Consider the following 22,380-nt stretch of genomic DNA (forward strand, 5'->3'; position numbering starts at 1 on the left):
ATTTATCTGATGATCAATTGTCTAACTAAAGTTTGTGATTGAACTTCTGGGGTGGTGGATAAATCTTATTTCAAAGAGAAGAGACAAACTATTACTTTTTGTTCTCTTACTGGTTTATACTAGAGACTGTTCCAAATGAACTGTGGTATTTTGACTACTGCCATTATAGTAGAACAAACAGCATTCTTTATTCCTTATGCTATTAGGGTGTGTTTGGTAAAGGAAGAAATGAATAGCAGTTTTCTCTGAATATATTTAAAAAATACATAGAAGGTACTCTGCCAATAGAATGAGCACTAAAATGCCTACTCATTTAGTTGTTCAACAAATGGCTGGTGTCATTATAAATGAGCCTATGTCTGGGACTTCTTTAAGTATGAATAATGCAAATGATGAGACTATTTGACTCTGGATTAAATCTCTGTGAAGTCATTGGCATGTGTTGCATGCAGTCTAGCTGGGTTGGAGGTCCTGAAATAGGGTTCCCATGCCTCTTTCCACTCTCAACTCCTCTGCCATGATGAATGGAGATGGGAGCTCTTATTCAGAGCAATAATTCATGCTGTGGCAGAAACAAGCCAGCCTATGGAAATGGTTTCACAGGGCAAAGGAGTCATCTGACCGTGGGGCCATTACACAAATTGATGGAGAGCTGAGTTCTTTTCCTGAACTAGCCATAATGACAACCTGATGAAAATGGGTTGAATTTTGATTCACCTTTGGTTTTCCCTTTTCATGAGATTTATATTAGATTTAGTTCACTGGTTTTTATATTGAACTTGGTTAGTGAGTATAAAAACATATAGGTTAAAGTTAACAAACAAAATATACAGACTTCATTTGCATTTGCGATTTTGCTAAAATTTTTTTCCATCAAATATTTTACAGTTTATTCTCGTTTGGGTTCAATTAAAATTCTTGGTCTCTGGAAATGCTTATAAATTAAGAAAATGGCCATCTGGTTTTCTTTTTTTTTTTTCTTCTTTTTTTTTTTTTAGATAGCCATTCATCTGCCTAATGGAAGTGTTGAGGTCATCTCTAGCTCTAAGGTTTTGTGATTCAAACAGGAAAATACGTTATTCTTGTTTAAAGACCTGGCCACCATCTGTGATTTTTGGTATGCTGCCACATAGAGAATAGCAGTGTATCAGAAGGTGGTCTTAAAAAAGGATCAGCGGAATGAAGGGATATGAATAATTTTTTTTTTTTTAAGGCAGAGTCTCACTCTGTCGCCCAGGCTGGAGTGCAGTGGCGTGACCTTGGCTCACTGCAAGCTCTGCCTCCCGGGTTCACACCATTCTCCTGCCTCAGCCTCCCAAGTAGCTGGGACTACAGGCACCCACCACCACACTCGGCTAACTTTTTGTATTTTGAGTAGAGACGGGGTTTCACCATGTTACCCAGGATGGTCTCGATCTCCTCACCTCGTGATCCACCCGCCTCAGCCTCCCAAAGTGCTGCGATTACAGGCATGAGTCACTGTGTCCGGCCTAATAAATTTTTTAAAATTAGAGTTTCTGTGTTTGTATAGCCATTACCATTTTTTTCCGACTATTTTGATCTAAGTAGTTAATCAAATTATGTTTTTGGAATTGAGTTTTTGGGTCCTCTATTCTTCCTAACAGATTTTCTTAGCATACAGCATTTTGATATTAAAATCCTGCTTCTTTTGTGTATCTCATATCTTTTCTATGCCTTGCCTTTTTACATCTAAAAGCAATGGTTTAGAGATATTGGACAGTGATGATGTGACACAGAAACTAGAAATCTTGCTAGGCTATTATTTATTACCTTTTTTTCTTTAATGCAGAGGGCATTCATGTCTGTAATCCTAACACTTTGGGAGGCCAAGGTGGGTGGATTACTTGAGGTCAGGAGTTTGAGACCAGCCTGGCCAACATGGTGAAACCCCGTCTCTACTAAAAATACAAAAATTAGCCAGATGTGGTGGCAGGCACCTGTAATCCCAGCTACTCGGGAGGCTGAGGCAGGAGAATCACTTGAACCCAGGAGGCAAAGGTTGCAGTGAGCCTAGATCTCGCCACTGCACTCCATCCTGTGTGACAGAGCGAGACTCCATCTCAAAAAAAAAAAAAAAAGCAGAGGGCAAATAAGTATTGGGAAACATATAGCTATAATTGTAAATGCAAATCGATCACAGATACCAACCTTTTTTTTGAAAAAAGATAATAAACATGTTGTTTTCTAACCATCAAGAATAGCTCTGTTATACATTATTGGAAATATGCTTCTATTATTTTTTTCTATCACTCTTCTGAGTGGAAAAAACTCAAAACTATGCTTTTTTTTTTCTATTCACTCACTCAAATAACAATCAATACAGAAGGCTTCTGTGACCAAATGCGTGGGTTTTTTTCTCCCACACACTAAGCAAGCAACTGGTTCTGTAGTGGACACCAGCTGGATGGCACTATTTACTTGGAGATAGCATCAGGTCCTATAGGTTGAGGGCTCAGTCTTGAAGACTGTTCCCCAAGTTTCAATACCAACTGCAGGCCCTTGGTTGTTTTACCTGTGCTTCTGACTGACCAGCTATAAATTGGGGTTCCCATGATCACCTTCTGGGATTCAATTAATTTGCTAGAGCACCTCATAGAACTCAGGGAAACACTTACTTTGGTTTACTGGTTTATTATAAAGGATGTTACAAAGGATACAGGTGAAGAGATGCATAGGGTAAGGTATGAAGGAAGGGGCACGAAGCTTCCATGCCCTTCCCAGGCATGCCACTCTCCAAGAACCTCCAGGTGTTGGGCTATCCAGAAGCTCCTTGAACCCAGTCTTTTTGTGCTTTTAGGGATCCCTCATTACATGGGCATGATTGATTAAATCATTGCCATTGGTGATCAACTTAACTTTCAGCCTCTCTCCCCTTCCCAGAATTCAAGGGGGGGCACGTTGAAAACCCTAACTCTCTAATCCTGCTTTGGTTTTTCTGTTGACCAACCCCCATCTTGAAGCTACCTTAGGGCTCCAGCCATCAGTCTATCATTAGCAACAAAAATACGTCAATTTAGAGAATCTAAGAATTTTAGGAATTGTATGCCAGGAAACAAGGTCAAAGACCACATATATATTTCACAAAATCACACACTACATTTTCTATCTGTTCTTAGGTTTATGTGACTATTGTGTGTTTATAGGTTATTACTTAGGTTTATCCAAAGAAACAGAACAAAAGGATGTGTGTGTGTGTGTGTGTGTGCATGCACGTGTGTGTGTGTATATATATATATATGGAGGACGAACAAGAGATGTATAAACATACACACATGTTTATATACATATACATATATATATATTTATGTATGCATACCCACACATATATATATATAAAGAGAGAACCTACAGGAGCTGTAGATACACACACACAAACACACACACACACACACATACACACACACATATATACATATATATACTCATTCACTACCACAAGAACAGCAAGGGGAAATCTGCCCCCGTGATTCAATCACCCCCCACCAGGCACCTCCTCCAGTTCAATATGGGATTTGGGTAGGGACACAAGTTCTAAACATATCAACAGGACTTCTCAGCCTCCATAATTATGTAAAGCAACTCCTCATAATAAATCTCTCTCTGTATGTATATATACATATATGTGTGTGTGTGTGTGTGTGTGTGTTTGTGTATATATACTGTATGTATATATACATACAGATATTGGGAGGTGATTGAATCATGGGGGCAGATTTCCCCTTGCTGTTCCTGTGATAGTGAATGAGTTCTCATGAGATCTCATGGTTTAAAAGTACGTGGCACTTCCCCTTTCACTGTCTCTCTCTTGCTCTGCCACAGTAAGACATGCTTGCTTCCCCTTTACCTTATGCCATGATTGTAAGTTTCATGAGGCCTTCTAGCCATGCTTCCTGAAAGAAAGAAGCTATCCTGTACAGCCTGCAGAACTGTGAGTTAATTAAACCTTTTTTCTTCATGAATTACCCAGTCTCAGGTAGTTCTTTATAGCAGTGTGAGAATGAACTCATACAGAAAGTTGATACCAGGAGAGTGGGGTTCTGCTATAAAGATACCTGAAAATGTGTAGGTGACTTTGGAACTGGTCATGGGCAGAGGTTGGAACAGTTTGAAGGGGTCAGAAGAAGAAAGGAGGATGTGGGAAGGTTTGGAACTTCATAGAGACTTGTTGAATGGTTTGACCAAAATGCTGATAGTGATATGGACAATGATGTTTAGCCTGAGGTGGTCTCAGATGGAGATGAAGAACTTATTGGGAACTGGAATAAAGGTCATCCTTGCTATCCTTTAGCAAAGAAACTGGAGGCATTTTTCCCCTGCCCTGGAAATCTGTGGAACTTTGAGATGAGTTAGGGTATTTAGCAGAAGAAATTTCTAAGCAGCAAAGCATTCAAGAGCTAACCTGACTGTTTCTAAAAGTGTATGCTTATACATGTGAACAAAGAGATTATCTGAAACTGGAACTTATATTTAAAAGGGAAGCAGAGCATAAAAGTTTGGAAAATTTGCAGCCTGGCCATGTGGTAGAAAAGAAAAACCCATTTTCTGGGGAGAAATTCAAGCCTGCTGCAGAAATTTGCATAAGTAAAGAGGAGCCAATTTTTTTTTTTTTTTTTGAGATGGAGTCTCGCTCTGTCACCCAGGCTGGAGTGCAGTGGCGCAATCTTGGCTCACTGCAACCTTCGCCTCCTGGGTTCACGCCATTCTCCTGCCTCAGCCTCCTGAGTAGCTGGGACTACAGGCGCCCGCCACCAAACCCGGCTAATTTTTTTGTATTTTTAGTAGAGACAGGGTTTCACCATGTTAACCAGGATGGTCTTGATCTCCTGACCTCGTGATCCGCCTGCCTCGGCCTCCCAAAGTGCTGGGATTACAGGTGTGAGCCACCATGCCCGGCAAGAGCCAAATGTTAATAGCCAATACAATAAGGAAAATATCAGAGACCAGGGCATTTCAGAGACCTTCACAGCAACCCTTCCCATTACAGGTCCAGAGGCCTAGGAGGAAAAAATGGTTTTCTGTGTCAGGCTGAGGGCCCAGCTGCTCTGTGCAGCCTTGGGATATGGTGCCCTGTGTCTAAGCTGCTCCAGTTCCAGCTGTGGCTAAAAGGGGAGGGCATACAGCTCAGGCTGTTGCTTCAGAGGGTGCAAGCCCTAAGCCTCAGAGGCTTCCACATGGCCTTGGGCCTGTGGGTGCACAGAAGGCAAGAGTTGAGCTTTGGGAGCCTCTGCCTGGATTTCAGAGGATGTATGGGAATGCCTGGATGTCCAGGCAGAAGTCTGCTGCGAGGCAGAGCCCTCATGGAGAACCTCTACTAGGGAAGTGCAGATGGGAAATGTGGGGTCGGAGCCCCCACACAGAGTCCCCACTAGGGCATTGCTTAGTGGAGTTGTGACACGAAGGCTACTATCCTCCAGACCCCGGAATGGTAGATCCACTGAGAGCTTGCACTGTGCACCTAGAAAAGCCACAAGCACTCAATGCCAGCCCATGAAAGCAGCCACAAGAGCTGTACATACCCTACAGAGCCACAGGGGTGGAGCTGCCCAACGCCTTTGGAGCCCACCCCTTGCATCAGTATGCTGTGGATGTGAGACATGGAGTCAAAGGAGATCATTTTGGAGCTTTAAGATTTAATGACTGTCCTGCTGGGTTTTGGACTTGCATGGGGCCTCTAGCCCCTTTGTTTTGGACAGTTTCTCCCTTTTGGAGTGGAAGCATTTACCTGATGCCTGTATGTCTATATTATCTTGGAAATAACTTGTTTTTGATTTTACAGGCTCATAAGTGGAAGGGACTTGCCTTGTCTCAGATGAGACTTTGGATTTGGACTTTCGATTTAATGCTGGAATGAGTTAAGACTTTGGGGAATTGTTGGGAAAGCATGATTGATTTTCAAATGTGAGAAGGACGTGAGATTTGGGAGGGGCCAGGGGCAGAATCGTAAGGTTTAGATTTGTGTCCTGTCAAATTTCATGTTGAATTGGAGGTGGGGCCTGGCGGGAGGTGATTGGATCATGGGGATGGATCTCCCTCTTGCTGTTCTCATGTTGGTAAGTGAGTTTTCTTGAGATCTCATGGTTTAAAAGTGTGTTGCACTTCCCTCTTCACTCTCTCTCTCCTGCTCTGCCATGGTAAGATGTGCTTGCTTCCCCTTTCTCTTCTGCTGTGATTGTAAGTTTCTTGAGGCCTTCTACCCATGCTACTGGTACAGCCTGAGGAACTTTGAGTCAATTAAACCTCTTTCCTTCATAAATTACCCAGTCTCAGGTGGCTCTTTATAGCAGTGTGAGAATGGACTAATGCACCTGTGATCTACCTTTTGCAGACTGAAGACCTAGATTAGTCCAAAGGCCTAAGAACCAGGGGCACAATGGTGTAAATCTCTGTTACCAGACCAAACTGGGATCTGCTCACCCTGTGCCATAGGCCAAACATCTATATGAAAGTTTGCAGAGGGAGAAAGGAGGGGCCCAAGCATGAAGAATTGGGCAGCTTACGCTTGAGACATGACCCCTCTGATGGCTTGTGAGTGTTATTTAAAGGTGGGGGTAAATTTTAGGAAAGTTGAAGTTATAGTAAAAATTGTAAATCAATACATGGAGATTACACATCGATTTGGCCCCAAAAGGTTGGATATCTTAAGGCAGGGGATTATAGGTCATAGGTATATTCAAAGACTTTCTGATTTGCAATTAGTGAAGGAAGAGAATCTCTGTTTAAAAATGTGGGGTTAGCAGAAAAGAATGTTAGCTCTGGCTCATGGGCATGATTTCCTCCAGACCCCTCAGGAAGAACTTTACAATAAAGAACTGCAGAGTTCATTCCTCAGTTTTCCCTTATCTGAGGTCTACATGCCAGCATGTTTATTTGATGGGGATCCAGGTTTCTGAAAACAGCTCAGGCACATAGGTTAAGATGTTGTCTTTAGTTTCTATAGGGAACACCAAACATCCTTTAACTCTAACTTCCTTGGCTATTGTTTTAAGCTACCATTCCTTCTTACTTTTTGAGTTGCTCATTTACTTCTCAGGGCTAGCTAGGTGCCTGGAATTTCCCCTGAAGGAACCAAATATTTTCTTTTATTTTCATCGTATGGGGTGCCCACAGGCCTCTCAGAGGGTCTCTGCTTTGTCTCAAGTCCAAGAACAGGCAAAGACTGATGTCCCAGTTCATGCAGACAGGAAGAAAGCAAAGGACAAATTCCCCCTTCCTTTGCCATTTTTTTCTATTCAGTCCCTCGATTGGATGATGCCCACACACATTTGAGAAGGCCATCTGCTTTACTCAGCCCACCAATTCAAATGCCAATCTCATCTGGAAAAAACCTCAGTGACACATTCAAAAATAATGTTTAATTTGGGAACCCTATGGTGTAGTCAAGTTGGCATATAAAGTTAACTGTTACAGGCTGGGCGTGGTGGCTTACACCTATAATCCCAGCACTTTGGGAGGCTGAGACAGGTGGATCACCTGAGGTCAGGAGTTTGAGACCAGCCTGGTCAATATGGTGAAGCCTCGTCTCTACTAAAAATACAACAATTAGCTGGGTGTGGCGGAACACGCCTGTAGTCCCAGCTACTCAGGAGGCTAAGGCAGGAGAATTGCTTGAATCCAGGAGGTGGAGGATTCAGTGAGCCAAGATCGTGTCATCGCACTCCAACCTGGGCAACAGAGTGAGACTCTGTCTGAAAAAAAAAAAAAGGTTAACTGTTACAACAGGTTTTCCATACAAGGGTTAAGACATTAAGGGTAGTGTTCTCCCCTGGACAAAGATTGGCCACTGACCTTTTGCGTCCGATCTCAGATTTGTTCAAGATCTTGTCATTTACAAGGTCATGCTACCATCACTGCAATCTAATTCCAAAATATTTTCATCGCCCCCAAAAGAAACTCCTTACCCTTCCACAGTCACTCCTCATGCCTGCCCCCACCCAACACCTGCAACCATTAATCTACTTTTATCTCTATGGATTTTCCTGTTTTGATATCTCATATAAGTAGAATCATAAAGCACGTGGTCTTTTGTGTCACTTAGCATAATGTGTGATAAAGCAAATATGGAAACTGTTTATTGTAGAACCTAGGCAGGAGCATATGGGTGGTTCATTCTCAAATTATTTTTGTATATCAAGTTCTACCTTTCTATCAAATGGGAACCATATCAAGTTCATGAAACCCTTCTTGACACCTACATCACCTTGGTCTTTTCCTCCTCCGAATTCTTTTTCTTTTTCTAGAGACAGGGTCTTGCACTGTTGTCCAGGCTGTAGTGCAGTGGCCCCATCATAACTCACTGTAGCCTCAACCTCCTGGGTTTAAGTGACCCTCTTGCTTCAGTTTACCAAGTAGCTAGGACGATAGGGATGCATCACCACCACACCTGGCTAATTAAAATTTTATTTATTTATTTATTTATTAGAGACAAGGTCTCACTATGTTGTCCAGGTTGGTCTCAAACTCCTAGTCTCAAGTGATTCCCACACCTTAGCCTCCCAAAGAGCTGAAATTTACAGGCAGAAGCCATCATGCACAGCCATCCTCTGAATTCTTTTAATAAAAGTATAAGTAATCACAAATTTTAATAGTTGATTATAGACTGTCATGCATTTTCTGGAATCACGTAAATAGCATTTATCTCCTTGACTAAGATACAAACTTCTTAAGAGCAAAGACTAGTCTCATTGCTTTATTTCCTCTCTCCTTATGCCCCTTCCTCATCACTCAGAGAATTCATGAGAGTATTGTTGCCTAGTGATAATGTTTGTTGGTGCAACTAAGCTTCAAGACACAGGTAATAACTGTGACTTCTTCATCATTTTTCTCCCAAATTTTTAATTGGCATTTCAAGGATGGCCTAGCCTTAGAGTACTAGACTAATCTGTTTCCTGGGCAGATTCCAGTTTCCATTCCATAGGCCTGGACATCACTGTTTACAGCTGAATAGAATCATTCATTCAGCTCCTCTCTGTCAATGTCTCTTATAGACACTCTTCTATATAGAACCAGGAGCACAATGGTTATAGACTGTCTGTAAGAAACATTGACAGAGAGGAGCTGAATGAAACGTCTCCAGTGAACCAAAGCCAGCCCATTGAGTTGCTTTTGGGGCACCTGGGAGTGTGGTGCTTTCCTTGACAGTCTTTAGAGATGAGGAGACAGTGTGGAAAGCTGTTCAGACAAAATGATATGCATGCTGGTGGCTTACAGATCCCTTATTCAATAGATAAATATAGGTCAACAATGATAAAATCTTCAGAGGGTAGTTTGCATTAGAACTGCCTTCTGGGACATTGACACTGATCTCACGTTTTGTCAGTGATTGATGACCCAGTGGATACGCAACTATTACATTGTGAGCTACCAATATTGTCCTTGCTGTTAATTTCAGGAACAACGATCTCTAGGATTAGTGAATAGAGGTGATTAATCTATATTGAGAAAATTATTAAAATCTAAAAACTAGATTATTTATCCCAAATATAAGGATGGGTTAAATATTATAAAGTATATTTTCTATTCTCCACATATCTGAATTTTCTTAATTATAGCAATGGAATTTCTCAATTTTTTACACATTATGTTTTTAGAGTAAGTTTGAAACATATTAAATACAAACTTTTTTTTTTTTTTTTTTTTTTTTCCCTGAGATGGAGGCTCGCTCTGTCACCCAGATTGGAGTGCAGTGGTGTGATCACAGCTCACTGCAGCTCCGCCTCCCGGGTTCATGCCATTCTCCTGCCTCGGCCTCCCAAAGTGCTGGGATTACAGGCTTAAGCCACCACGCCCAGCCTAAATACAAACATTTTTACTGTAGTTTTTGGAGTGAGGTGAAATCTAATATAAAAATTTATTAGTTCCAGCTCTAGACAACATTCCATAATTTGTCATTTCAATAAAATCTTTTTAAAGTCTGACTTTGTTTTTGAACTTGCTTACCTATGTTCATGTACATAGAAGATCTCTCCCAGAGGTATACAGAATGTTCAGTTAGCCTCAGCAGGATGAGACATATCTGCTTTCTATTTCGTCTTTGGATTCCACATTCTGACCTGTGAAATAATTACACCAGATTTAAAAAAATTCTAGTAGACTTAACTAAGAAATTCTTTTTAAAAATTATTTTTTATTATGATAAAAAGGATATAACATTAAATTTACCATCTTAACCATTTTAAAGCATGCAATTCAGTAGTGTTAAACATATTTACATTGTTGTGCAAATGATCTCCAGAACTATTTCATCTTGCAAAAGTGAAACTCTATGTTCAATAAACAATAACTCCTCATTTATCCCTCCCCCAGCCCCCAGCAATTACCATGCTTCTTTCTTTTTCTACAAATTTGACTATTTAAAATAACTCATAGGAATGGAACCATACAGTATTTATCTTTTTGTGTCTGACTTATTTCACTTAACATAATGCACTCAAGGTTTATTTAGGTTGTGGCATATGTCAAAATTTCCTTCCTTTTGAAGGCTGAATAATATTCCATACACACACACTCACACACACACACACACCACATTGTAGAATTCTGTTCATCTGTTAATGGACAGGCAAATTTAGGTTGTTTCTATCTCGGCTATTGGGAATGGTGTTGCTATGAAAATGACTGTACAAATAATGTCTCTGTGATCCTGCTTTCAATTCTTTTGGATATATACCCAGAAGTAGAATTGCTGGATTGTATGGTAATTTTCTTTTTACTTTTTGTTGAGCAACTGCCATACTGTTTTTTATAATGGTGAAACCAACCCAATTGTCCCATAGAACTAATATTTTTCATTTCTTTTGAATAAACATAGAAATTGACTCTCTCAGTTTTAAAACTTGAAAAAGTTACATTTGTCTTACCTGAGTACCTTTCTTAAGAAACCAACCATCGGCCGGGTGGGGTGGCTCACGACTGTAATCCCAGTACTTTGGGAGGCCAAGATGGGCAGATCATGAGGTCAGGAGATCAAGACCATTCTGGCTAACATGGTAAAACCCCGTGTTTACTAAAAATACAAAAAATTAGCTGGGCGTGGCGGCAGGCGCCTGTAATCCCAGCTACTCAGGAGGCTGAGACAGGAGAATGGCGTGAACTCCGGAGGCGGAGCTTGCAGTGAGCCGAGATATCACGCCACTGCACTCCAGCCTGGGTGACAGTGCCAGACTCTGTCTCAAAAAAAAAAAAAAAAAAAAAAAAAAAACCAACCATCAGGCCTCCCAGATAGTACCAAGGAACTGAAATTTACCAGATCACTGCATCTGGATAATAAGACACCAGACTCCTCACCCATCATGATTGCCTAATTCATCACCTGCTTCCTGTTGACCAACTTCTCTTGCTTACCCCTCCCTAATTCCTGTTTTCCCACATGTGGTTACATTTCTTCCATGCTGTATAAACCCCTAATTTCAGTTGGTTAGGGAGATGGATTTGAGGCTGATCTCCTTGGCAGCATCACCTGATTAATGCCTTTTTTCTTGGAAACACTCATTGTCTCAGTTATTGGCTTTCTGTGCAGTGAGCAGCAGGACCTAAACCCTGGTGTCTTGGTAACAGTGGCTGCACCATTTTATATTTTCACTAATAGAGCACAAAGATCACAATTTTTCTACATCCTCTCAAACACTTGTCATTTTCTGTGTTTTTTGATAGTAACCATTCTAATGGGTATAAGGTAGAATAAATCACTTTTAAACAGAAAAAACCCATCACTTTCTAGCCAAAGGAATTAAAACTATCTAAGGTACCTAATCCAAATAAGATTCATTTCACATTAAACTTGTGGTCTATCATTCTTACATTGTTCATGGATTTGTTCTTCTTTGGATTTCTGAAATAAGCTATATACTGATTTTATCACCTACCTCAGTATGACTGAGCAGGATTTCTTTATTTATTTACTTACTTACTTTTGAGACATGGTCATGCTCCGTTACCCGGTCTGGAGTGCAGTGGTACAATCATAGCTCACTGCAACCTTGAGCTCCCCGGCTCAAGCAATTCTTCCACCTCAGCCTCCCAAGTAGCTAGGACTACACACACGCGCCACCATACTTGGCTAATTTTTAAAATTTTTAGTAGAGACAAGATCTCGCTATGTTGCCCAGGCTAGTCTCAAACTCCTGGTTTCAAGCAATCCTTCTGTCTTGGCCTCCCAAAGTGCTAGGATTATAGGTGTGAGCCACTGAGCGTGGCTGAATGAGCAGACTTTTTTTTTGTTTTTTTTTGAGCAGAGTCTTGCTCTGTCACCTAGGCTGGAGTGCAGTGGTGTGATCTCAGCTCATCTCAACCTCTGCCTCCCAGGTTCAAGCAGTTCTGTCTCAGCCTCCCATGTAGCTGGGACTACAGGTGTGCGCCACCATGCCTGGCTAATTTTTGTATTTTTAGTAGAGATGGGGTTTCACCATGTTGGCCAGGCTGGTCTCGAACTCCTGGCCTCAGGTGATCCCCCCACCTCGGCCTCCAAAGTGCTGGGATTACAAGTGTGAGCCACTGTGCCCAGCTCCAAATGAGTAGAATTTAAAAGGTAAACTTTGCAATTCTCTTATTTATGGTAAAAAATTTGTCTGTTACAGAAACTATATTCTAAAAATGGGAAAAACTGGCAATGCAAACTCGGTCTGCCCCTGAGAGATGATGTAAATTAAAGTTGGTCATCACCATGGACCTCAGTATTCTCAGTGGTCAAACAGGGGAGTTGGTCTAGATGAGAGGCAGCCAACCTAAATGCCTACGGAACCACAGCAGGCCCTGGAGACAAGTGAAGAGATCTGGTTGTAAAATCACAGTGCTGCAGTGTCCTCATCAAACTGAAGAGTAGGAGTAAGAGCTCCTTCAAATGGTTCATGCCTGTAATCCCAGCACTTTGGGAGGCCGAGAAGGGCAGATCACAAGCTCAAGAGATTGAGACCATTCTGGCCAACATGGTGAAACCCTGTCTCTACTAAAAATATAAAAATTAGCTGGGCTTGGTGGCGTGCACCTGTAGTCCCAGCTACTCGGAAGGCTGAGGCAGGAGAATCGCTTGAACCCATGAAGCAGAGGTTGCAGTGAGCCCAGATCGCACCAGCCTGGTGACAGAGCTAGAATCCGTCTAAAAAAAAAAAAAAATGGAGGAGGGTGGTAGCATTCACCTCCCACTTAACATGCTGTGAGGGAATATAGACTTTTTTTAAAAAAAATTTTATTATTATACTTTAAGTTTTAGGGTACATGTGCACAATGTGCAGGTTTGTTACATATGTATACATGTGCCATGTTGGTGTGCTGCACCCATTAACTCGTCATTTAGCCTTAGGTATATCTCCTAATGTTATCCCTCCCTCTTCCCCCCACCCCACAACAGTCCCCGGTGTGTGATGTTCCCCTTCCTGTGTCCATGTGTTCTCATTGTTCAATCCCCACCTGTGAGTGAGAACATGCGGTGTTTGGTTTTTTGTCCTTGCAATAGTTTGCTGAGAATGATGGTTTCCAGTTTCATCCATGTCCCTACAAAGGACATGAACTCATCATTTTTTTATGGATGCATAGTATTCCATGGTGTATATGTGCCACATTTTCTTAATCCAGTCTATCGTTGTTGGACATTTGGGTTGGTTCCAAGTCTTTGCTATTGTGAATAGTGCCGCAGTAAACATACATGTGCATGTGTCTTTATAGCAGCATGATTTATAATCCTTTGGGTATATACCCAGTAATGGGATGGCTGGGTCAAATGGTATTTCTAGTTCGAGATCCCTGAGGAATCGCCACACTGACTTCCACAATGGTTGAACTAGTTTACACTCCCACCAACAGTGTAAAAGTGTTCCTATTTCTCCACATCCTCTCCAGCACCTGTTGTTTCCTGACTTTTTAATGATCGCCATTCTAACTGGTGTGAGATGGTATCTCATTGTGGTTTTGATTTGCATTTCTCTGATGGCCGGTGATGATGAGCATTTTTTCATGTGGAATATAGACTTTTGCCTATAATGTGTTGCACCAGATCTTCAAACTCATTAAAAAAGTTGAAAAATTTAAAATATGGCAAAAATATTAATTAACATAAAAACACTCCTGTACAGGGCAAATAAAACAACCTTTTGAGGGTGAAATGTGGTCCATTGTCTGGTGGTTTGCAATACCTGGGCTAGATGATTTCTAAGGTCCTTTGAGTTCTAAAATTCTTTGATTTCTGGATTCTAAGAACAGATTAAAAATAACAGCAATAGTCAGGGGCTGTGATTCTATTTTTTATCTTGGATCATTCAAAACTATAGGCTGCTGTCTTGATTTCACTAGTATGGATCAAAATGACTCAATTGTTTGATATATAGACATTATCTCCTTAAGCACTATATTTATCTTCAGTGAATTGTACTAAGAAAGATTTATGTGACAATTCATATCACATTGGAAAATGATACATGGCTCTCTCTAGCAAAAACTGCTGTCTTTTATTTGATTCCTGAGCTCTGTTTTGAATTTTGGCAAAATTGAAGAGACAAAAAAAATCAGTTTATGTCTCAATTAATTTCACAAACTGAATGACAGATGAGATTTCTCTTTTCACTCCAGATTCCCCTGTCCCTACAGAATTGTTGGAGAATATTTGTGGTTGTCAGAATGTTTTTATTTTAATGAGAATGGAGTCGTGATTGACATTTGCTCCCTGGCCAGCATCCTTCTTCTTTTGTTTCTTTCTTCTTTTATTAACAGATGCTGATTTTCCAATAGGGAATTATTCCTGCCACACCCATAGCCTACAACAGAGGTTCTCAAATGGGTGGTCCCTAGAACAGGAGCATCAGCATCACCTATGGACTTGTCGGAAATGTCCACTCTTAGACTCTGTTCCCTAGTTCAGGTAATTCTGGTGCCACTGAGCCATCCTACAGCTCCAGGCCTGAATCCTTAGGCACTGAGATTGGTTTAAGGATGGGCATATAACCTAAGTCAGTGGGTGTCAAACTTGATAGGAAATCAGAATCACTTGGACCACGTGTTAAAACAAAAATCGTTGGTCCCTTACTTCAGAGTGTATAGTTCTGTAGGTCTGGGGTGAGACCTGATCACTTTTAACAAGTTCCCAGGCAATGCCGATGATCATCCTTAAGAACTACTGACCTGAGCTAATGAGATTAAACAATTTTGGTGGAATTTCACCTGCATCAATCAGCTGTTGCCTCACATAAGCTGTGTGAGAAACCGTTCCAAATCTCAGTTGAAAACTATTTATTTATTTTTTACACATGGTAAGATGGGCTGGGCTTGGCTCCAATTTTGCTCCATGTGTCCTTCATCCTCCCTGGGCCAGTAGCTACTCAACTCAAAGCATAGTCCTCTAACGATGAAAGCAAAGTGTAAAAGACCGTGTCCCACTGTGCAAGCCTATTTCAGCCAAACTCATGTCACATCGACTAATATTCCGTTGGCCAAAGCAAATCGTGTGACCAATATTGACATCAAAGGCTCTCATGAAAGTTGAGGGGGAGATAATGAATACTTGCTGAATGATAATCTAGTATATTACATCTGGGAAAAAGTGCCTTCTTTCCACTGTTTATTTTTTTTTTCTTTTGAGACAAAGTCTCACTCTTGTCCCCCAGGCTGGAATGCAGTGGTGTGATCTTGGCCCACTGCAACCTCTGCCTCATGGGTTCAAGGAATTCTCTTGCCTTAGCCTCCTGAGTAGCTGGGATTACAGGCATTTGCCACCATGCCCGGCTAATTTTTGTATTTTTAGTAGAGACGGGGTTTCACCATGTTGGCCAGGCTGGTCTCAAACTCTTGACCTCAGGTGATCCGCCTGCCTCAGCCTCCAAAAGTGCTGGGATTACAGGCGTGAGCCACCACACCTGGCCTTTCCACTGTTTTTTTAAGCTGGTAAACTATAGTCTTGGACCAGTTAGTGGTTGACTTTGCAGCCATATAGAAAGAGCCTGCCTCAGAATAAAACCAATAAAAAGAAAATCACAGCTGAGAGCTGAAGAGAGACAGATTCCTGAAGATCCAGCCATGTTGGAAAGTGGGTCTATTATTGCACTTTTTTGTTAGGTAAACCAATACTTTGTTTTTCCTAAGCTAGTTCTTGCAACCCAAGGTCCATAGCCATGACCCAGTATTTAATATTTTTCAGTATATAGATCATCATCAGCCCTTGAGACAATGAATATTTTAAAAAATATGGTGTTTAAGTTGCTGTATTGAAATTTTATTTGCCAGTTTTTGTAGTACTGTGGTATTATAGAAGTTTGATTCAAAGTTAAATTTACTGTCATAGGATTTGTCTTTAATCAGACTTTTAATACCTTAGAACATTTCACCTGGTCATATCTCGAAGTATTAGATGAAAATTAAGTATCTTTCGTCTATCTGTAGTTTCCAGAAAGGAACTCCATATCCTCAGGGGAGTCCAGGAAGATTGCATTTATTAACAATTGTGTAAAGATACTAGTAACAACATTAGAAGCAACACAGGCTTAAACGAGATGAGTTCTTAAGTTTCCTTTTTTTCTCTCCAGAAATAGGCAGTGTAAGACTGGCATAGCACTCCACTGTTATCTTGGACCTGGTATCCTGTCTGTTCTGCCACTTGTAATGTGTGACTGACAATCTTTCCTCTGGTCCAAGATGGCTAGCAGGGCTCAGGCTCACGCGCCTGGCAGGAGGAATGAAGTGAGGAAGAACAAAAAGGGCCTGGGCCAGCTGTCTGGCGCTCTGTCAAGGAGCATTTCTAGAAGTGTCACCTGACATTTCCACTTATATGTCATTGATCAGACTTTAATCACATAGACACAGCAAGGTTGGATGAGAAATACAGTCTTTTGTCTCAGCAGTTTCATCCCTTGAATAAAATCATGGTTGCGTTACTGGAAAAGAAGAGCAAAACAGATATTGGGAAGGCAGCTAGCCATCTCTGGCATAAATGCCAATTTCAGAAGTAAGTAAGAATGAAGTATGTCTGATGGAAATAAACATAAAATCAAAGATCAACAGGAGACAAACTAAAATGGCTACCAAAATGAATGTGAACACATCCCAGAAGAGAATTGGAAAACAAAATGTAAGTAGCTATGCACTGAGAATGAAAATCAAAATGGACAATAGATTTCTAAGAAAAAGGAAGTCGGAGAAAAATATTTTTTCTCAAGGTTTACTGTATGCGGTTCTTGGAATAGAGGAAAATGTGAGCAATTCCGTTTATAGAAAGGCATACCATTGAAAGGGAACACAAATTTTCTTTTCAAATAAAATAAGTCAAAATGTTTTTCGATAGGCTTTAGCAGACTTGGCTTGAATGAAGTATCTTTTAAAACATCTATGTCCAGTATAGTAACTTTAAGTTCATTATCAGCCCTCCAGTGACAAATTTACCTTCCAGAGTAGACTTCAAGTTTACTCAGAAGAGATTTTTCATTGTAAAAAACTCTGGGTTTTGGCATTTAGGGTGAAAAACATCATTATGTGAATTTGCTTAGAGTGAAACGGGTAGGCAGCAGCGTCTCCTTAACCTCATGTGGAATCAGGGATGTCCTTTGCAGGATGGGGAATGCCCTCAGGAAGGGTACCTGATGACATAGTGGGTGATGGTGAAATGGTCACTGCAGGTGGGTTGCTGTTGACCTGTTGAGGAATCTGGTTTAGGGTCAACCAAGTGCAGGCATCTGGTAAGTTGCAGAACAGCAGTGGGCAGGCAGAGAGAACTGAGAATAACCTTGTTCTGTCACTTATTATACTGTGATATTGAACCAATTTCTTCACTTCCCTGGACCTCCATTTCCTGAGCCATGAAATGAGGCTAAGGATACCTATTCACAGTGGAGTTGAGAGGATTAATGAGACCATTTAGGTAAAATTGCTTGGCATGGTGTAAATGGTGGGCACTCAAGGAATCCATCCCCTACTTCTACCCTATACTCTGCCCTTCTCTTTTTTACCTTTCCTCTCTCTCTCCATTCTTCTTTCCCCCAATCCCTCAAAATTTCCTAAAGTACCACCAGAGGGCACAACCTAGACCAACCTTCTGTCAAAGTGTAATAGATTCCATGCAGCTTATGGAGTCCTCAGAGATGATTCCCAAGTTATCCTGGAGTGTCTGGAGTGTGGTAAAAAGCCTTTTGGCTGGAAGTTCTGCCATTCTTCTGCAAGTACGTGCAACACTATATGGCATCAAGTTATTTACTCCAATTTGTTTAATCTAAAATCCAACAAGTACAATGTAACTAGGTTGGAGCAGTCTGTCATTTTTGTATTCATTTCTTCTATTTTACACTCATTGTGATGGCATAAAGTCTTGCTCTCTAGTCAAAATTGTCATACTATCCCTGCATGTGGATGTGCATGGGTTGGTCTTTGGAATAAACTAGTAAATGAATAGTTTTTTTGTTTGTTTGTTTTTGTTTTTGTTTTTTTTGAGACAGAGTCTCACTCTGTTGCCCAGGCTGGAGTGCAATGCAATGGCGTGATCTGGGCTCACTGCAACCTCCGCCTTCCGGGTCAAGCCATTCTCCTGCCTCAGCCTCCCAAGTAACTGGGACTACAGGCATGAGCCACCATGCCTGGCTAATTTTTGTATTTTTAGTAGAGACAGGGTTTCATCATATTGGCCAGGCTGGTCTCAAACTCCTGACTTCAAGTGATCTGCCCACCTTGGCCTCCCAAACTGCTGGGATTACAGGCATGAGCCACCGCGCCTGGACTAAATGAATAGTTTACTTTAGGTTTCCTTTCTGCTTGCTCCCCCATGTCCTAATCGTCTCCATTTGAATTTTGTCTTATATTTCTTTCAGAGTAATACATGTATACATATATGTATTTCTACTTAGTTATTTCACAGCATTGCTCTGAAAAGCTATAAATTCCATCTTTGAGCTGTTTTGGGGGTGTTAATTACAGCATATGATTGCTGAGAACATTAATCCATTCAATCAGTCTCCAATATCAACATTATTTCATTTATTTATTTTTAAATTTACTCTCCAGCTCAAAGGATTCAATCTCAGCTTTTAATGCAAGTGGCAGGTCAGGATTATACATTTTCTTGTTTTTACATATCTTCTAGGAATTTTAAAATACCACAAAACCTTACATCTTCCCAATTTTTTTGTCACTAAGAAAGATCAAGTTGACCTTCTAGCAGAGAAGTCAAATCTTAAATTATTTTTGACGTCATGGACTAAAAAAAGGAAACATCTTTACACAAATGACTGTCTTATCCAGCTGGACCTGAGAAAGCATGCCTGTGGAGACTAAAGCAACTCCATCTTGGATGCTAGTCACCATGTTGACTTCTGATTAACCCCAGTTCTGGGAATGCCTCTAAGATTTCTATTTTATCTACTGTTCCTTGTATAAGAGCATATGCTTAGAGTAAATCTGTCCTTAGGTCAAAACAACTTTGACCATAAATACTGCCCTTAGTGAGAGTCACATGACATTCGTGCCTTTCTTTGACTTCAATTGTCCTACACATTCCTACCCTATCATATAGAAGCCCTGGGTCTGGGGGATAATGGTGCCAGGATCCACCATCTTGCCTCATCACCACCGGAAACTATGGCTTTTATTTGTAAGTCACTATTAAATGTTTCTTTCTGAGAAACTGGATTTGTCAGCCTCTTTCTTTGGCCTCTTAACTTCCTTGGCCTTTGTGGCTGGGTTTACATAGGTCTGCCTACCACAGAGCAATGTCTTTTTTGTGTTCATTTTCTTTGTCAGAAATTCTACTTTAATCTTTTATGGACAATCTCAGAGGGCTTATCCAAGGCAAAAAATAGTAGCTAGCATCTTTCCTTAGGGACGTTTACAGATAATGAGTAATGTTTCTGTGCTTTGAACACTTCCCAAGTGCCCACAATGCAGTGTGCACTCTGCTAGTCTCTTAGTAGATGTGTTTCCGCCCTGAGAAATCTGGCAGATAAGAAAACGACCCCAGGTTTACCAGCTGGCACTAGGTTGTTCATTGGAGGCCACGTAAGGAGACAACATGAGTTACCCATTTCCTAGTTTATGCATTCATTATTATTCATTTATTTGTATCATTATTATTATTATTATTATTATTATTATTGTTTTTGAGACAGAGTCTTGCTCTGTTGCCCAGGCTGCAGTGCAGTGGCATGATCTTGGCTCACTGCAACCTCCGCCTCCCAGGTTCAAGCAATTATCCTGCCTCAGCCTCCCAAGTAGCTGGGACTACAGGTGCGTGCCACAATGCCCGGGTAATTTTTTGTATTTTTAGTAGAGATGGGGTTTCACCATGTTAGCCAGGATGGTCTTGATCTGACCTCGTGATCTGCCCATTTCGGCCTCCCAAAGTGCTGGGATTACAGGCGTGAGCCACCGCGCCCGGCCCGTATAGTTCTTTTAATAAACATAATTAGAAAAACAATTTAAAGTCATAACCCTGAGCTTCTCACCTGGGCTCTGTTTGGTACCATCTTCATAATTATATCTCAATTATGAGTGATCTCACAAATATTGAATGCTTACTGTTGTATGGCTTTATGCTAAGGACTTTGTGTTTTTTATTTCATTTAATCCTCTTAATAACCTGGTGAAACTGTTGCCAAATACCAGGGGTTCAACCAAGGTCCTGTTGCTCACTATACAGAAAGCCAGTCCTTGAGACAATGAGTATTGCCAGGGAAGAAAGGCTTTTTAATGCAGTTGACATCAGCTGGGAGATGGTGGGTAGGTTTCAAATTGGGCTCCCCAACCGACTTAAATTAGGTGTTTATATAGTGAGGGAAGGAATGTAACTATGTGTGGGAAAACAGGAATTAGGGAGGGGTAAGGAAGAGGATTGGTCAGTAGGAAGCAGGTGGTCAGTTAGGGAATTATGACGGATGAGGGGTCTCATTGTCTGCATGTTTCAGTTCTGGTAAGTTTCAGTTCCTTGATACTATCTGGGAGGCCTGTGAATCTGTTTTCTGAGAAGGGAACTCAGAGAAGACAGATGTAACTTTCAGCTTTAAGACCAAGAGGGTCAATTTTTATATTTACTGAAAAAACCATTAGTTCTATGGAAAAATTGGGGCAATTTCAAAATTTGTGTATTTATTATTACCATTTTACAGATAATGAAACTGAAGCTCGCTGAGGAGACTCACTTAGGGCCACACAGGCAATTAGCAACGGAGCTGGAGTCCTCCATCTGTGCAACCCTGCTCCACAGCCAGAGTGGTGCTCCACACTGCTATGTCATTCTAATTTAGAACGTTCCACCTTCAACAGTATGAGTAGGGAAACCAAAAAGAGTCACTAGTCAGTATGAAATTGCTCAAGGAACTCTAACCTTGATGATTTCTTTTTGATTCATTTATTCATTCATTCACCTATGTGTTTGGAAAGTGTTAATTGAAATCTTCTCTGTGCTAGGCACTTTGCTAGGCCTCTGACAGACACAAACAAGACACAATCTTTGCCTCTCATGAGTTACTTGCTTGGATTCAATTATTTCTTTTCTGTCTCCTTCATAGATTACTCTTTTCATTACCCTTGTGCCATATAACATCTTAGCTGTGTGAGACCAGGAGAAGGTGTTGGTCACCTACCCTTGGCAGTAGGAAGTCTTTCAGATCTGATATTAATTGTGTATTCAAATGTCAAGGTATCCTAGTACAGAAAATATCAGTGGGTTATTCTGATAAGGAAAATACTATTTGCTAATTTTAGAAAAGAGAATATGCTAAAAGTTACACCTCAGAGGGAATATCATTTGATATGGTGAACAGGAAACCCAAGAAGTTGTGAATTCCATTCAAAAGATGAAACTGCTTAGAAGATAATGTAAGGTTCTCACCCAACATGAGCACTGCACTCAAGGCCATTTCTAGGATGAAAGGGTGGGATGATTATCTATTATTCCAGCCATGAATTATTTCTGTGGCCTCCAGAAGATGCAACTGAATTGTAGCTATGTGTCCAGAATCGGTTCCTTCTGGTGGGTTCTTGGTCTCGCTGACTTCAAGAATGAAGCCGTGGACCCTCACGGTGAGTGTTGCAGTTCTTAAAGATGGTGTGTCTGGAGTTTGTTCCTTCAGATATTCAGATGTGTCCGGAGTTTCTTTCTTCTGGTGGGTTTGTGGTCTTACTGACTTCAGGAGTGAAGCCGCAGACTTTTGCAGTGAGTGTTATAGCTCTTAAAGATGACGCATCCAGAGTTGTTCGTTCCTCCCGGTGGGTTCGTGGTGTCGCTGACTTCAGGAGTGAAGCTACAGACCATCGTGGTGAATGTTACAGCTCATAAAGGTAGTGTGGACCCAAAGAGTGAGCTGCAGCAAGATTTATTGTGAAGAGTGAAAGAACAAAGCTTCCACAGTGTGGAAGGGAACCCAAGCGGGTTGCTGCTGCTGGCTGGGGTGGCCAGCTTTTATT

General features: G+C 41.1%; 1 long non-coding RNA gene across 1 annotated transcript; it reads right to left on the reverse strand.

Annotated features, from left to right (window-relative positions):
- Positions 1-7,354: 7,354 nt before the first annotated feature.
- Positions 7,355-11,105, reverse strand: LOC105373911 (uncharacterized). Its single transcript, XR_923957.2, has 3 exons — positions 10,878-11,105; positions 9,958-10,070; positions 7,355-7,706 (listed from the first exon to the last, which is right to left on the reverse strand). It is a non-coding gene; the product is annotated as an uncharacterized LOC105373911 (long non-coding RNA).
- Positions 11,106-22,380: the final 11,275 nt, after the last annotated feature.

This window comes from Homo sapiens, chromosome 2 (assembly GCF_000001405.40).
Source record: "Homo sapiens chromosome 2, GRCh38.p14 Primary Assembly".
Lineage (NCBI taxonomy): Eukaryota > Metazoa > Chordata > Mammalia > Primates > Hominidae > Homo > Homo sapiens.